This window comes from Homo sapiens, chromosome 2 (genome assembly GCF_000001405.40).
Source record: "Homo sapiens chromosome 2, GRCh38.p14 Primary Assembly".
Classification (NCBI taxonomy): Eukaryota; Metazoa; Chordata; class Mammalia; order Primates; family Hominidae; genus Homo; species Homo sapiens.
In genome coordinates, this window is record NC_000002.12 from 224,852,742 (window position 1) to 224,870,870 (window position 18,129).

The 18,129-nt window shown below is 37.3% G+C and overlaps 1 protein-coding gene across 24 annotated transcripts in view; it reads right to left on the bottom strand.

Annotated features, from left to right (window-relative positions):
• The window catches only part of DOCK10 (dedicator of cytokinesis 10), a 277,379-nt gene that overhangs the window by 87,652 nt on the left and 171,598 nt on the right, over window positions 1-18,129 (bottom strand). For 23 of the 24 annotated variants that reach the window (XM_047444930.1, XM_047444929.1, XM_047444922.1 and 20 more), the window contains exons 12-17: window positions 12,125-12,346; window positions 11,812-11,934; window positions 9,923-10,005; window positions 4,119-4,241; window positions 2,222-2,301; window positions 194-381 (exon numbers count right to left, since the gene is read on the bottom strand). In XM_047444930.1, the coding sequence (XP_047300886.1) occupies window positions 194-381; window positions 2,222-2,301; window positions 4,119-4,241; window positions 9,923-10,005; window positions 11,812-11,934; window positions 12,125-12,346 (819 nt within the window). Of the gene's footprint in view, window positions 1-193; window positions 382-2,221; window positions 2,302-4,118; window positions 4,242-9,922; window positions 10,006-11,811; window positions 11,935-12,124; window positions 12,347-18,129 lie in introns of those variants that run through there. The other variant, XM_047444936.1, reaches the window with a different exon arrangement.

Here is an 18,129-nt window from a genome sequence, read left to right on the forward strand (position 1 = left end):
TGCTACGAAACTGCATCCTTAAACACTTCTAAGATAAAACTCATCAGTGCCTCTTACTAAACATCTTCTCCAAACGGTTTTCTATGACAGAGTGTTGCCCCATAGTAATTTGTATTTGCACATTCAGGAACTATCTTATATGGTCTAAATACGGTGAAAAGAAAAGATGATATCTCTGGAACTTATATCATACCTTGTTGAAGCATTTCTGGCTATCATACTTGAGGTGTTTGGGGTAAATATAAATTTGATTTTTATATACTCTGTAAGGCCGACAATACTTTGTTGAATCGTAAACAAATTCTTCCACCTCCACTGTGGGTTCTGTTTGAGCCATCATGTTGAAAGGCTTGACAGGGATAAAGGACGATGTTACACAATCTTAAAAAATCAGAAAATAAGAGTTTGTCATTTAATATGGTTCTTTTAAAGTGAACAATAGTTAACATGTTTTAAAATGAACCCACTCAAGATAGAAACTCCTGGCTTGTACACCAATTGATATTAGCTTACGCTAGCATGAAAAATTTGTAGGAGGTGGGCATGGCAGATTAACAAGCTACGTATTTAATATTAAAACTGATGTCTCAGAAAAAAACAGTAAATCTTTTAGACGGATTTATAACTATTTTCTTTTTGTATTAAGCTTTCCATAAAAATAAATTTTAACTAATGAACCTCTGAACATAGTAGCCAGATATTATAAGAAATAATCCACCAATCTTTGCTATAACACTATAAAAATAATGCATATTCTGATACATGACTGAAAAAAGCTTTGTCCAATAGATCTATTACTGATAGTACCAGATAGATTAATAGCAATATCTCTCTAAATATCTCTCTACAGAATGGATTTCACAGCATGGGCCTGAAGCCCCTCTCTTCATCAGTAGATACGGTTTATTTATTTTTCTCTTCAGTTTCTACCACCTTTTAAAACCTACCCTTGGAGGAACAGCTTAAGAAATAGTGATTAGGAATTTATAAATCAAAACTTCTGTCACCAAACAGTTTGAAGCCTGAAGTTGTGGTACTGAAAGACCAAGGCCTTCTACCTCCCTTTACCCCACCTGGAATCTGACTGTGTTCTAAAAAGCAAAATGATTAGCTACGAATGCTTGAGAATCAGATTACTGTTTTCTTTTTTCAAAAACCAATTATGATATTTTTATTATATGTTCAAATTTCTCTAAGATTCTACCATTCTTCCAAAGAGAATATTGAGTGCCTCATTTGTCGTGTTTCATTTCCATATCAGGTAGAGGAAATGACTTGGTTTATCCTCTGCTTTTTCACACCAATCAATATAAAAATGATTTTGAACCATGGCTTAAGTTAGAATGCTCATTACATTTCATATTAAAATGACTTGTAGAAAGTTACAAGGATGGAAAACTTAATACTGCAGTGGCAATCCAAATATCCCATGGCAATAGTCCTTTCCCTGTTTAGAGTTCATTATAGGAGGCCTTTATTCTTTTTTTTTTTTCACATTGCTGAAAAAGTCACTAAAGGGTAGAATCAGAAATAACCAAACAAACCAATTTTACCACTTAAAAATTAAATTCTGAAACTCTTTTATAAATAAAGTTTAAAAAACTCCTTCTAAAATTGAGATTTTAATGACAATACTTTTGACCATATTCTGAAAAAAATATATGTTCTCTGTATAATAACAGAGTCTGACAACATTTCAGTTATAATCATTGCATGGCCACTTGAGTGGCTACGCAGTGTTCAGAGTAACCCTCTGGCAGCACAATATGGCAGAACTAGCCTCTATTTTGAGTGAGAGGAACTCCCTCAATGGGAGAATATATTGTCCCATTATGGATTATTGGTTTGTTAATCTATCCAAATCTGACTTTCCTCCTCTGAAACCCTCCGGGGTTTTGAGGATTAAATGACATAATTTAATACCTTGTTAGGTGCATGGTGCATACCAGGTAAGTAAGTGTTAGGTTACCCTGAATATAGTTCTTGCCCTACAAAACTCATCATCTGTCTTAGTGAAGCAAAAAGAAGCTCCACATTTCTGTAGCATCATGAATTCCATATATTTCAACTTTTGGGAAAAAAAAAACCCAAAACCTTGTAACCAACCAACTAGCCAACCAACCAACCAACCAACCAACCAACCAACCAACCAACCAAAACAAACCCACTAAATATTCAATATTCAAAACTCTGCAACCAAACCATGACATCATCATCATACTTGGATGCTCCAAGGGAACGTTGTCAACAGCAATATCCAGGCTTCCAGGAATGGTCTGCATTTTGCTTATTCTGTCGGCCCTGTAAGAGTGCATGAGCAAGGACACACACACACACACACACACACACACACACACACAGAGTATTATTCCAATTTTCAAGGAAAAAGCAGTCATCTATAATTCTGAGCTTTGTTAAGGGTAAACAGCAGACTCCCAAATAATCTTGTGAATGATTTTATTTAGCTAGTTTAATTTTGCAAACTAAAATACATGTGATATTGCAAATAAAAATACAAATCAGGGAGGGGTCAAGTGACAGATTTTCTGAAAAATTTTAAATTTATTTCCTTCTACTTCAGATAACACAAAAATCAAAAAAGTACAAGAGTAAATTATAGAGTTTTTATTAACAAAAGCTAATAGTATTTAAACTGGCTTAAGTAACACACTCTCATAATGAATTTTAAGAAGTTTTGAGAGCAAGCTTGGTCTTTGCTACAATCGCTAAGTGGATGGTCCATATTCTTCCTCTTCACCAACAAACAAGGAGGACAGGGACCCTTCCCTGAGCCCTGTTTCTTCTGCTCTCTCCCACTCCTATAGTGTATGCGGACACCCCTTCCCCACCTGTCTCCCACTCACATGCACTCCCCGGCTCAAGTCCTTGCATTTCCCTCCCACTCTCTCTCTATTAAAACCTCTCGCCAATCTTCCTTTAGAGTAAAGTGGAAGCTGCTGGTAACAGTCGCAAGTGTTATCCTTCTCAGGAAATCTACTTTGAAAGGTGGGATAATTACAGTGATGGGTCAGAGTCAGCTCTTCTCAGCTTGTGAGAGCTGAATGTTCAATTTTTAGGAATTTTGCTTGACAGCTAAACACAGCCGTTAATAAAAATTAAGTTACATAAACTTACCATTAAAGAAATTATATTAAACACAAAGGTAATAAGTATTCAAAATTCACCACTTTCTGATTATTTTACTACATGGTAAGATTATCTGTACATCTCTAAGTGTATGGTGGAAATGCTCTATTAGGGTGCACATCTCTTCCTAACCCTATGTTCAGTGAAGCCTCATTGATAGGTTGGAATCAGCAATGGTAGGAGAGTTTACACCATAGACACTGGCCATCAGTAGAAGTCCGTTGTTTCCTTAAAGAGTTGCTTGTGAAACATTTGTCAGCACATCACTGAGAATAAAGGCCATAAAGTGTGAGGCTGACATGAATAATTTAATGTCAGCGTTGCATTGTGTATTCTAGGGTGCCCCCTTAAATTAGACAGTAATAATTTTCCTTGCTATTCACTGATAACATGGGTTTTGTAAGAGTTTTTTTTTTATGTTTATAACAGATCACCCCAGAACCTTCTGCCTATTCTCCTCTGCTCAGCATTACAGCCTTTCATGCTTCAGCATACTGGCAAAAAGTAAAGAGGAAAGGCCGGGCCTTAGGAAGCCTATGGTATGGATTTTGGCCAGGATGTTTGATTACTTTAAAGGGGAGTCTCTGAAGTGGATCCTCTGACCCCAGCTGATCTCTCTCAGCCCATGCCATGTGTGGAAGAGATAAGCTCTTCTCACTCAGATGTGCTCAAATTGTGGACTCAGGAGTACAATTACTATAGCAGTGTTGTTATTTTAAACCATTAAGTTTTGAGGTGGTTTGTTACACAGCAGTAAATAACTGACATAGTTTAACATTTCACAGTCCTTCCATATAATTCTAGCAATTTTTACTTTTGTGGTGCTATTTGGGCATATGTGAAGTCACCTGAAAAATATCTGCTTTCTGGAGGTTTGGGTGTTCGAGAATGAGATCCTCAGGTATTTATGAAGTGATAAAAAATCAACATGGCTGATTTATGTTAATTTCGAGAGTATAAAAAAAACATACCTTCTATAATCTGATACTAGTTTAACTAGGTCCTCAGTTGAAATCTTGCTACTTTCTTGTCTAAACAATGGTGAAAATCTTGAGTCTCTGTCCACATTTCCCTGGTTGTCCTTAAATACTGATCTAAAAGAAAATATTTATTCAGGTTGGTAGTTGGATATTGTTTATAAAGTTGTGTTTTTAACGTGACTATATTAATTAAACTTCTCATTTATAATCAGAGAAACTCTAAGAACTTATAAAATAAAAAGACCAAAAACTTTTACAAATGCTTCATTTATACAGTTTATTTTTGTTATCTTTAATTTATTATTTTTAACTCTGTATCCGAAGTGATAACATTCCATATTACAACTATATTTTTTATGATGTCTCACATTTAATAACTTGTATCAAAACCTTGGAGTATCAGGGAAGTGGAGAAGAATAGGAACACAAGTTACTCTTTTAAATTATGTTTCCAAGACACCTTAAACCTGGGCAGGACAGAGTCACTTCAATTTGGGTGGCACTACTAGGATTTACGAGTGGTGGAACAGGGAGAAGGTTGTATATGTGAGTGTGGAAGGCCATACTCTTGACACATTTTCATGGAGCTAAATGTGCCCATGTCCTAACTTTTAGGACAGAGACAAAGATAATACGGAAGGCACCTGAGTCAGACTGTTGTTTTAAAGAAAGAGAACACTATGAATCTGAGCCACTTATTTCCTTCCTTGGTCTGTTTCATTGGAACCAAGAAAAGTTAGGCTTAGTTGAAACACATAAATAGCTTTTGTCCAAATAATATAGTAATGTCAGGCAATACTTGCTTCACATAGGTACCATGCTTAGATGTCAGTTTTACATGAAATTCCTCATATCTCATTACACAATGTGTGGTCAAAAAAAAATAGAATTTTTTTTTTTTACTTCAGTGTTAGAGAAATATTGAATTCTTACTTCTTTTAATGTAATGTTTTATCACTCTTTAAGTTAACTGAAGAATTCATTGCACAGGCTGAAATGGCCATTTAAATGGATATCAGATTAAATAGCTTTAGTGTTAAATAGAACACCAAAAGAAAATAGGCCAAGATTTTATCAGAATGATATTTTTAGACTCCTTCAACTTGCCTCCTCATTTTTTCTCTGTTAAGTAGTGAATGAGGGAAGGTAAAAAGGCAAATAACGTTGGGGAGACAGAATAAAAATATTAAACATGAATATTATTTTTATTTAAATATTATAAAGGGCGTTTGTTTCAGTGCATCACATGTTGAAACTAACATGATACAATTCCCAATATGAAAGGAAGTTAAACTGAGCTTGAACAATAGCTTTTTAATTAGTGACTTCCATTTATTGATAGATGTGAATTGTGGAACTCGATTTGCCCTTATCCACAACTCTGTCATGGAAATTGCTCACTTACATTGGACACTTTTCATAAAGAGAATGAAGAGTACAGCACCATGGGAGAAGTTTTGCTCACAGTGCCATACAACATGTGGTTGCTCAATAAATATATAACTGGTGGCTGGGCGCGGTGGCTCACGCCTGTAATCCCGGCACTTTGGAAGGCTGAGGTGGGGGGATCACGAGGTCAGGAGACTCAGACCAGCCTGGTTAACATGGTGAAACCCCGTCTCTACTAAAAATACAAAAATTAGCCGGGCATGGTGGCATGCACCTGTAATCCCAACTAGTTAGGCTGAGGCAGGAGAATCGCTTGAACCTGGGGGGCGAAGGTTGCAGTGAGCCGAGATTGTGCCACTGCACTTCAGCCTGGTGACAGAGCGAGACTCCGTCTCAAAAAAATGTGTATATATATATATCTGGCAGGAGAAAAAAGAACTGATTCATTTACATAGATGGTTTTGTGATGGCTGGAACGCTGTGCCTAGTTCCAACTGCTACAGTTGAGCAATGATCAGTATATTGTGAGGATCTCAGCACCATGATCTTTGGGGTATGATTGTAGGAATCATGAAATATGGCCCAGCCATTCGAAAACCCTTTGTGTAAGCTTTTCGTTTTCTTGCCCAAAGGAAAAGAACCTTAGGTGTCCCCGATAGATTCATTCACAAACAGCATGAATAACCATGATGTGCAGAATGAAGCAGACATATTTTTTGTGTGTGTGTGGCTATGGAAGAAAACACATAAAAGTGGTTTTCAGATAGCTGAAGATTATTTTGAAAAATAGATTATTTAATAATTAGACCTCTAAAGAGACAGACAGAAGGAAGCACTGTGGGATGTACTTGGGTTTTTGTCCCTGGAAAGAGTCAAACAGAAGTTGGATGACCATTTGTTAAAGACGTTGTCAGTATGGGAATCTTAAATGACAGCTGCACTGTGCACCTTCCATAATTGTAGAGATACGAGAATGAAATGTTTATTTTAATTTTGCTTAATTAAAAAAATTCAGTGTTGAGTGCTGGTCCACTTAGAATATCAAATGAGGTAGTCAAGGAAATCACAAAAGAGTCCTGGCAAGGATGCTGGCACCTAGGATTCTGGGGCTGATATGCATGGAAAGAGATCCATTCACAACCTGACACATTTGGAAGGGTCAATTTTCTCCCGAGTCAATGAGTATAAAATACCCTGTGTAGTCATCTGTATGTGTTCTCTATTCCTCCCCCAAGGATAACCTTTTCACTGTAAAATGGTACTGCAGCTGGTGCCAAATATAAGAATACCAAATTAATTTCAGAAAAAAATGTTGTTCACAGTGATGAGCATCTGTGCATACTGCAGTGGGTGGGATGATTAAATGTGGGTAAAAATATGGTCATAATCTAAATTGTCAGTTCTACTCTTCTAATGACAGTTGATTGTAAGGGCCAACATGTCTTAGGGCACACTGAAATCTACACTGCGAAACAAACTGCAATCTAGAAAGCGTAACAGGAAGGAGCAGTAGCCTCAGAATCAGGGTATCAATTAGGTATTGAAGTATGTCAGGAAGCTGGTAAAGACATGGGCAACAACCGGCCTTCCTCTGATGCTGTGCACATTTATTTGAAGCAGTTTCCACATTGTGAAAGAGAAATTAAAATCTTTGGCTGGATCTTTTATACTTTTTTGTGGTTAGGTAATCCAAGTGGTCTGACATGGTATCTTTAGAATTGTGCTGCTAACTATTTTTCTCAGTTGTGAGAAATTTATGTGGAAGTAAATCACATATGTATATACACAGGTTGGTGGTGTTTCCTAACCTACAACCAGACCACTAATTGGGCATTAATATGGTCTAAGCTTGTGGTTTCATTAGCTTTCCTATCCAAGGAATAATTTCAATAGTCAGTAATACTGTCAGCCTCCCTAGAGACTTCATCTGTCTTTCTTCCAGCATATTTAACTAGACAACTTCAAAGCAGGATTGTCACTTCTCCTAACTTCTCAGGTTCTTTCAATAATGGGTAATTCTTTGACTTCTCTCCTTTATATTGTTCTTCACTGCCCCAAATTTATCAGAAAAGGGGACTTGGTGAGATAGATATGATCTCTGCAAGTGACTTTTAGTAATAATAATATTAGAAAAAATAATTTCTAAAAATAACAATCTTTTATTGGGTACATATCTGTGCTCCTTAATCCTTATAACAGTAAATTAGATATTCTTATTTTCCTCTTTTGTAGATTAAAAAAATAGATAAAGTCAGGTTATAAGTAACTTGCCCAAGCTCACTTGGCTAATAAAGGATAGAGCGTTTTTTTTTTCTTTTTTTTAGAGACAGGGTCTCACTCTGTTGCCCAGGCTGGAGTGCAGTGGTGCTATCATAGTTCATTGCAACTTCCAGCTTCTGGGCTCATCTCTGATGATTCTGATACTCCCATCTCAGCCTCCTGAGTAGCTAGGACTACAGGTGTATGCTACCACCCTTGGTTAATTTTTTAAAAGTTGTTTTTAGAGATTGGGTCTCACTATGTTGCCCAGGCTGGTCTAGAATTCCTGACCTTAAGTGAACCTCCAGGAGACCTTGGCCTCCTAAAGTATTGGGATTATAGGCATGCCCCACCATGCCTGGCCAGAGTTAGGATATTTTGAGCTCAGCTCTGTCTGGTTCTAAAATGCCTGTTTCTAAAACCTCAGAGCAATGTTGGATCCTTAAAGTGAAAAATGTGTGCACTATTGTAATTTTGTTATACTGGAATATTTCACAACAGACATCTTGCCTCTACTTGCCCCAGTAGGTTTTCTGGAGGGAACTGAGAATGCTTAACAATACCAAAAATGTTTAATCAGTGAATTATAATTAGTTAACCTTTGTCTTAAAGCTTATGAGAAATAAAAACAAATTCATTATAAAGGGTTCTGCAAATCTAAATACCATCTTTTTCATGCAGAATGTCCTGGCATTAGTTGTTCCTATAGAAAGAGATAGAAAAGGGAGGATAAAGTACTATTCATGATCTATTTTACGCCAAATGCTTGTGCACTTGAGATTGCACATACTGCTCATAACACAGGTATTGTCAGCTTCAATTTATAGCTGGGGACCCAGAGACATGGAGAAGAAACTTGTTCCAAGTCACAGTAAGTAGTGGCCTGATCTGCAACGTTTATTAGACTCCCAGGCCTGGACTCTCCCTCCCTTGCTATGACGCTGCCTTAGGGCAAACGAATTCCTGGAGACTGCATGAATCTATCTTGATTTACTGCTGCCCAAACTTCCACATTTCTCCTTCCTACACCTACTCATCTCCAACTTTAAATAACAACCTCAAAATTATGACAAATATTGGTGAGTTTACTCTGAATATACATCACTGGGAACTGTGAGACTTAAAAATGGCATAATTAACAGGTTCTCTCTTCCTTCTGGATGCTAAAGTTGGATACATTGAGATAATGTCAGCAAAGTTCAAATGAATACTTGATGGGCTGTCTTATTTGCCACCACACCTGGCTAATTTTTGTATTTTTAGTAGAGACAGAGCTTCACCATGTTGGCCAAGCTGGTCTCGAACTCCTGACCTCGGGATCCGCCTGTCTTGGCCTCCCAAAGTGCTGGGATTACAGGCGTGAGCTACCATGCCCGGCTGGTAGCTCTAACCTTTCTTAGTTCATTCAGTGTGTACATTGATGACCTTTTAGCCTTATGAGTCTATGCCAGGCTCTTCCTCACTTAAGAAATTCTTACACTAATAAAGATGTAAAGAGATTGATGAGGACAATCATAATTGATGATTAAACAGTTCTGAAAAGCAATTATGGTTCTTCATGAAGAGGTCATGCATCCAAGTGAATGATGTGTCCATCTATGTCCACAGAACTCAGACTTTCTTTCAGAGGCAACTGGTACTGATAAATTTGGCTGGGCTAAACAGTATCAAAATCAAAATGAGTTTAAATGATTGGTTTGATGGTTTCATTTGGACGTCCATATATAGACCTGAGCTCTACGCATAAATGAAAACAAACAGCTGCATAAGAAATTACAGTGCATCTATCTGAATTTTAGGCACACCAGACTCTCAGGACTGACATAATGTCAAAGGTTTGTTAAGTCAAATATACATAATAAACAATTTATGACATTGATTTGATATCTACCAAGAACCCATAGCATATCTGGTCATGCATGCAGGGTACATGTGTCACGGCCCTCTATTATAAACTGTATTGCTAAACTGTCTTGTGAAATGTATGTCTCAGAGAAGCTCAAGATGTTTATGAAGATGACCATATTAGGATTTTCTAGGTGTAGACACATTAAAAATAATAGGCAACACAAAAACGTTCAAAACTGAAGCTTCCAATGCCACCATTAAATGTATTTCTAGTCTGTTGGCTGCAACTGTCAACATACCTTACTGCCCAAGCAAAAGGCATACGGTATTTTCCCAATTTGCTGCAGAATTGTCTGTTGGATTTTAGTATCTTTTGTGCATACTAAAGAAAAAATAAATACAAATATTGTTTAGAATAGCACTTTATAAACTGTACATATAAAATAATACTAAATACTTTTTCATATTATTTTATACTGAAACTCAGCGTAACTGTGTCTTACTAGCCCCTATTACCTTATAAAGAGCCAAATGGTGTCCTATGTGTTCAAACTATTGTATAATGTTTTTCTTTCTTTCTTCTTAGTTTGGAAATTTCAAATGTAGAAAATAATCCATGTCTTGGAATATCAACTTTTTTCCTTTTTTTGACTTAAAAGATTTTAAAATCTTGAATGGAAAGTATTAGTACATTTACATTTACAGTCCATTCTATATCCCCTTTTATTTGTTATGGCAGAGGGCAGGAGACTGGTTCTGTAAAGAGTCATATAGTAAACACAATGGGTTTCATGGGCCATATAGTCTCTGTCACAAGTTTTCAACTCTGTTTCTGTAGCAGGGAAATGGCCATAGACAATCCATAAATGAATGTGACTGTGTTTCAATAAAACTTTATTTATCAAAACAGAAGGTAGGCTGGATTTGGCCTGCACACCATAGTTTGCCAAACACTGAATTATGGGACTCTCATAAATATGTTAAACTCCTTCCTAAATTGTCATACATGCTAAGATTCAATTCTTGTAAGTTATTTCCTCAGTATATTTCTTTGGCATGGAAAATATAGACTTTTAATATTTCTTTTCTTTTCTTTTTTTTTTAGACGGAGTCTCGCTCTGTCGCCCGCCCAGGCTGGAGTGCAGTGGCAGGATCTTGGCTCACTGCAAGCTCCGCCTCCCGGGTTCACGCCATTCTCCTGCCTCAGCCTCCCGAGTAGCTGGGACTACAGGCGCCCGCCACCACGCCTGGCTAATTTTTTGTATTTTTAGTAGAGACGGGGTTTCACCATGTTAGCCAGGATGGTCTCCATCTCTTGACCTCGTGATCGCCTGCCTCAACCTCCCAAAGTGCTGGGATTACAGGCGTGAGCCACTGCGCCCGGCCTTAATATTCATTTTCTATTAAACAGTAATATTTGATTATTAAAGAAAATCTAATAGAAAAGAAGAAAGTAGAAACATATTACCTGTAGTTCCACCATTCAAAGCACAGCATTCTCTTTCCTCTTTTTCACTTAAGTGGTATTATAATTTGATTTACAATTATTTATCTCACTTTGTTCATCATCAGCATTGCTGATGTCTCATTCACTTGCTTTTACTCAGAATATTCCTAAGGTTTCATTATTATTAATACTCTGATCCTTGGGGTGAAAGCTTTATCCACATTTGAATTTATTTCTACCATTAGATTCTCAGAGGTCAGAAATTACTGGGTCAAAAGAAAGTAAAGCAAAAAGATAAGCTTAAAAAAATTTCTGGTGGATATTCATTTCACCAATAAGTGAGTATTTCAAGACATACAAATTTGATAATTCAGCAAGAAAGTGTGGCTTTCTGTCTTAAAAGCAAATGAAGTTGGCTGGGCATGGTGGCTCATGCCTGTAATCCCAGCACTTTGGGAGTCCAAGGCAGGCCGATCACTTGAAGTCAGGAGTTCGAGACCAGCCTGGTCAACATGGTGAAACCCCATCTCTACTATAAAATACAAAAAATTAGCTGGGCGTGGTGGCATGCACCTCTAATCCCAGCTACTGGGGAGGCTGAGGCAAGAGAATCACTTGAACCCAGGAGACAGAGGTTGCAGTGAGCTGCGATTGTGCCACTGCACTCCAGCCTGGGTGACAGGGAGAGACTCTATTAAAAAAAAAAAAGGAAGTGAAGTTATTTATAAGATTATACATTACCTTGTTGGAGTCTGGGTTCTTAATATAAGGTTCGGCACCACTTGCAATGTTTCCCATCAAGACTTTTTCGATTTTGGCCACCAAAACAATTTCAGAATGTGGATTGCTTACAGAAAATACAGCCTGTGTACAAAGAAAGCAGCTAATAAGCATGGAAGAAACCACATTGTAGACATTTACAAAATTCCATTTTTTTAAAAAAGGACAGCTTTAAGGGAATTTTTATTCAGGAAATTGCTCATCTTATATGATCTATTGGTAAGAATAATGGTACAAGCATTTTCCATCTCATCACAAGTAAACAAAGTGCCACCTGCTTTGGAAATTTTAGCCATTCCTCTGGAAGTCCCTTGATGTGAGGTTCTTCTGATTGTCTTGGAGTGATGGTGTCGATGTTGCCATTTTCCAAAGCCACAGAAGCCCCCAAGAGCATCTGTCTGACAGCAGCATGGTTTAGATCCACATGAAAATCAGCAGAAATCTTCCTGCTGTCTCTGAGGTCATAAAGTGCCACACTCACAAAAAAAGGCTCAATCTGCATGAAAAAGAAAGAACAGATGTTTTTGATATAAAATCATTATCCATGAGACAGCCTCGTTAGTACATCATTTAACAAAGCAGTAGATAAAATACATGCAGCAGGCAAGCTCCCCTTGACTCAGTGACCCGGAATCCTGTCCTCCAGCAAGTGCCTTAGATCCCAGTACTGTATCTCATTGGTTCTTTAGTTTCCCTGCCAAGAACTCTCTTCTTATGTTGCATTTACATGCATGGTTGGGCCTTACAAATCCTTCCAGTTATTTCCCTTACAGTCTTAGAAAATACATGCCACCTAAGTCTCCAAGGCCCTTGAAAATCTGTAATGAAATCCTAGAAGTTTCGAGACTGCACTGTGGTTGAACTTCACTAGGCCAACCACATCTCTGTTTTTTATCACAGCTTGATAGAATCATAATAATAGCTAACAGTTATTGAGCATTTATTACGTGTTTGCCACTGTTCTAAGGCACTCCTAATACATTAGTGTCGCAGATACATATTAAAACACAAAACACTGTGGCAAGTAGGTAGGTGAGCATCAGGTTGTGAGGGAGTCTGTTGGCAGAGAGGGCAGGAAGTTTCCTAAGAGGAGTTGATATCTTAGTTGAATTTTTAAAACAGATATTAACTATTTTTTCTCTTATATTGAAATAATTTTGAATAGAGAGAAAGGTTGTGTAAAAGGTGCATAAAACCACCTTAATTATCCCCCTTGCCCAGATTCAACTGTTAACCTCCTGTTTCTCTCTCTCTCTCTCTCTCTCACACACACACACACACTCTCTCTCTCTCTCTTACACACATACACACACACTCTCTCTCTCTCTAACAGTCACCTATTATAACCAGTCTGAATGCTTTGAGAGCAAGTTTCCCATATTATTCCTCTCCTAAATACTCCAGCGAGTGTTTTCCCGAAATGAGGACACTTACCTGCCTAATCACCGTGCAGCCATCCAAGTCAGGAAAGTGATATTGGCCCAAACTGTGCAACTCACATGCCCCTTTCGATGCTGCCAGTTGACTCAATAATGCCTCTGTTTTTCTTTCTGGTCCAGAATCCCATCTAGGACTACTCATTGTATTTTTCTGCTATTTCCCTTCAATTTAATTCAGTCAAAACTGTTCCTCAGTCTTTTTCTCTCTTTCAGGTTTTTGGCCTTTTAAAGAGTACAGGACATATATTCTGACATAAATTCAATCTGGGTCTGTTGTATGTGTCCTCGTGACAGGATTCAGGTCATGCTTTTATGGCAGTAAAATCTCAGACTGATGCTTGATTTTCATACTTCATTGTGTCTAGAGCACACAGTGTCAACTCCTTCAGCAACTGTGATGTTAGCCTTATCTGCTGGTTTTCTCCATTATAAAGGTCACCATTTTCCCTTTGGCAATTGATTTGTATTTGTGGAAATATGTTCTGAGATTACCCCCAGGTCTTGCTACTCACCAAACACAACCCACCCTAGTCTTCATCTCCATTGATAACTTCCATTGCAGTCAACTACCACCATGATGGCGACCAATGGTGATTTTTCAGTTCCATCATTCTTTCTACACGTATTAGCTAGTATTCCATCATACGGATGAGCTTTCCCTTCTCTCTTATTTTGATATTAATTAATTAATTTATTAATACAAGTATAGACTCATGGATTACTGTTTTACTCAATGGGTTTTGCTCTTACGATAATTAGTGTTAGTGTGATGCTGAAATTGTCCCAGATTTGGCTAGAGGCACTCATTCAAGGTAACTTCTGGGTATATTTTTGGCAAGTCTCCATCATTTTTTGAGTACTTCTTTATCAAATAGGATGTTCCAGGCTTATCCTATACTACTCATGCTCCAGATATTTCTCCAAGGAGCCCTGGTTCCTTACAGTGAGGGTGACATTTACAAACCACGATCTGGGTGCTTGTTGTGCTCACTGTCACAGGGATATCATTGCTTCTCTGCCCTCCGATCATACAGAGCTAAGAAATACACACACACACACACACACACACACACACACAAAATTTATTTATCTCTATCTGTGTATGAATACTTATTAAAAACCAGTTAGTTCATGTTTATACCTCTGCTTCCGATACAAACACTCAAGGGTTCATTCTAGCCTTTCCATTTTTAATATTGGTAAGTAGGTCCTCCAACAGTGAGAATGCGGGATCTCATTACCATGAATCTGTTTACTTACTTGTTCAACCAGTTACTTATTGGTTCAAAGTAACCAGTCTCCCAACCATATCAGCCATCTTTTCTAGTTGCCTCCTCTGGGCTGCCCTGCACCTGTATCACAACACACCCACGACAGGCTGCTTCTGTCCCTCTTCATGGCTTTCTCTCCCCATCAATTCTTGGGTGCTCACCCAAATCCATGCCTCTATGTGGCTTTCCTCTTAACCTCTTGCCCCCAGGCTAGGAAGTGGAAGATGTGAAAATGGGAAAGATATGGAAGATGAGAAGAAGGGGACATTTCTTGGTCAAGTTTTAAAGAAGTAGGAATTAGGTACAGAGTTGGTTAGAAGGGATTTCTAGGTAGGGTGTGTGACATGTGCAAAGACATAAGACATCAAAGAGCACAGGAAAAGAACATTAGAGTGGGATCAGAGTGGAGGAAAATGAAAAATTGGTAGGAAGCGTTTGTGGGAGAGGCATTTGAGAAACATTAAGGAAGTATGACCAAAGAGCTTGGATATTCTTTGCATGTGTTTGTCTTGGTTGATTGGAGAAAATGTTTCACAGGGGCATGAATACAGAAAATTCCCAGGTTTGAGGATAAAGGAAATGAAGTGGATGGTCATACCATTGGCTGATATAGGGGATAAAGATACAAAGATGAATTCCAAATGGGATATAGAAAGTCATCTGCGGGACATCCCAGTGGCAGTTGGATGTGTGTTTTGAGCCAAGTCAAGGAAACTGGGCTGAAGAGCTGGGCCTGAGAGGTTTTTTTTGTGTGTGGGGTCCTGTTGAATCCATGAAATAGAAGAAAATCAGAACAGGATTCTGGAAAGTATCAACATGCAAAGGATGGAGATGGGAGTAGGGAAAACAACTTATAAAATGGATTGGGAAGTAGGGAAAAATTTTACAAAACAAATGAAAAAATTTTAAATGTTGCCAGAGTATCACAGAAGCAAAGAAAGATTCAAGAAGGAAAGAATGGTCAACTAGAAAAATGTCACATACAACAGAGACAAAGACCAAATTAATATATGCATATGTAATTACATACATATATGTACATATATACATATATTGCATACATGCACATATATGTAGTTACACATTTATGTGATTAAAGTTGGAATACGCCTATAAAAACTAGCATTTTTACTGTTTTAAAATGCTACTTAAGTTTGAGTTGATGCCAATCTCTACCAGTATTCTAGGGGCAAACAGATTATAGTGAAACACCCTATTGTGATCCAGTTTATTACTACACAGACTCACTCACACTGTGGGTTTTGTTAAATGCTTAACAGTATCTCCTATCTTTTGAAATGTAGTAATGTGACTAGTTTATACGGGGGGGACAAGTCCAATTTCTTAATATTAGCAATACTTGCCAGCTCCCTTACTGTTAGAAAAAAGTTTTTGCATATAAGATAAATTCAATAAATTATTTTTTAAAATATAAAGCAATTACAAAGTAAAAGTTTATAGTATACCAATTTAAATTAATACAGAAAAACTCTTGTTTTGTGGTAGTAGTAGTCTGCCAAGAGTTGAAAAATGCAAAAATTACAGAAAAACAACTAAAGTGGGAACTCAAAACACATTGAAGGTCAAAGCAAAACCCATCTTTTTTCCTGAATTGTTGCATTTTGATTTTCATTTCTACTTTGTGAATGGAAATAAATACCTACTTTGATAACCCATCAAAAATTAAAGCTCATGTGGTGATTCATTTCTTTCTTCCAATCCACCTTTTCAAAATAAATGTCAAATCACTGGCTTTCCAGTGAGGATTTAACAAAGCATCTGCAAAGCCTAACAAATTAATTCATAGGTTTCTTGTGTTTAGAATTCTGTACTCTTCTGAAAAAAACTCGCAAAGATAAAATTTTAAATGTAGTTCTACTGTGATGTAGCTTTATTAGTTCAGATTTTTGGAGTCAATTTCTATTTTCAAAGAAATATTTTATACTACAAAACCATCAACTTGAATTTGGTTTTCAATTTACTGACTAAAAAATTACATGCTGTCAAACATTGTTTTCTCATCATGAGGATGTTATTTCAGGGAGTCTTCAGAATCTCATTCATTAAATGCAGTAGTTGGCTCCTAAGCAGCTTGGAGAAATATTTCAATTAATTTAAAACATGCTCATTGAATTAAGAACAATGAGTTTAAAAATAGATTCATTAATGAAAGAGTGTCAGTGAATAAATAAACACTGATTTTTAAAAAACAATGGTATTAAATAACAAACTGCTGTGAAGGTGAGGCTGACATTATTTTTTGTGTTATTGCTTATAGGCACAATGAAATTATTTTTCTAAAGTAATTTCCTAGTTTTTCAACATATGTATCAACTGTAAAATGAAAAACAACACTGACGTACAAAACACTCCAAATCAACTTAACCCTTTGGCCTGACAGATACCAAAGGACACACTAACTTGGTTCTCTGTACTTGGCTGTGTTCTCTTGCCTGGGGAGATTGGCCCAAATACAAACATTTGGCTTCTGAATATGGGTCTTAGTACAAAGAAAGGAATTCACGTGGAAGGAGTCATATGCCCCTGGCAGTAGAAAGAAAAGCCCACTATCTTTGATTTTCAGTTTCTAAATTGCATTTTAAATTACATTTAAATATGTTCTGGGTCAAAAAAAGCATCTATTTTTATTTAACAAGGTGACTAAGTGACATTACCATTTGAGGTAATGATATGATTTGGCTGTGTCACCACCCAAATCTCATCTTAAATTGTAGTTCTCATAATCCTCACATGTCATAGGAGGGACCCAGTGGGAAGTAATTGAATTATGGGGGCAGTTACCCTCATGCTGTTCTCATGATAGTGAGTGAGTTCTCATAATATCTGATGGTTTTATAAGGGGCTTTTCCCCCTTTTGCTTGGCATTTCCCTTTGCTGCCGCCATGTGAAGAAGGACATGTTTGATTCCCCTTCCATGATGATTGTAAGTTTCTTGAGGCCTCACCAGTCATGCTGAACTGTGAGTCAATTAAACCTCCTTCCTTTATAAATTACAGTCTTGGGTATGTCTTTCTTAGCAGCATGAGAACAGACTAATACAGGTATTTCCAAATGGTTTCAAGGACTAAGTTTCTAGATTTTTGTTTTGTTTTTATTTTAAAATCCTGCCTGAAAGCATGATCAGATTACTCCTAACACTTTGCATTCCATGGGAGCTGCTCTTGCCATAGTCATCAACATCCTCCACTTTGCCATGTCTACCAGATGGACTCCTCTTTCACTTCATGTTCCTCAGCTTCTTGGCACCAATCCCATAGCTACCCATTTGCTCTTGGTTTCATGATACAGTATTCCTTGGTTTATCTTTATCCCAACAGCCATCCCTGTTTAGTCTTCTTTGGTCACTTCTCTATTCATTCTTCAGATATTTTATTTGGTTCCTGGCCCCTTCTCTATGGTCATAGATATTTTTAGATCCCGCCCCTCTCCCCCCAACCAACATCATTGTCTGAACTAGACTTCCAAATTTGTATTTCCATTCATGGCCACTCCATTTTTTTTTTTTTTTTTTTTTTTTTTTTTGAGACGGAGTCTCACTGTGTCACCCA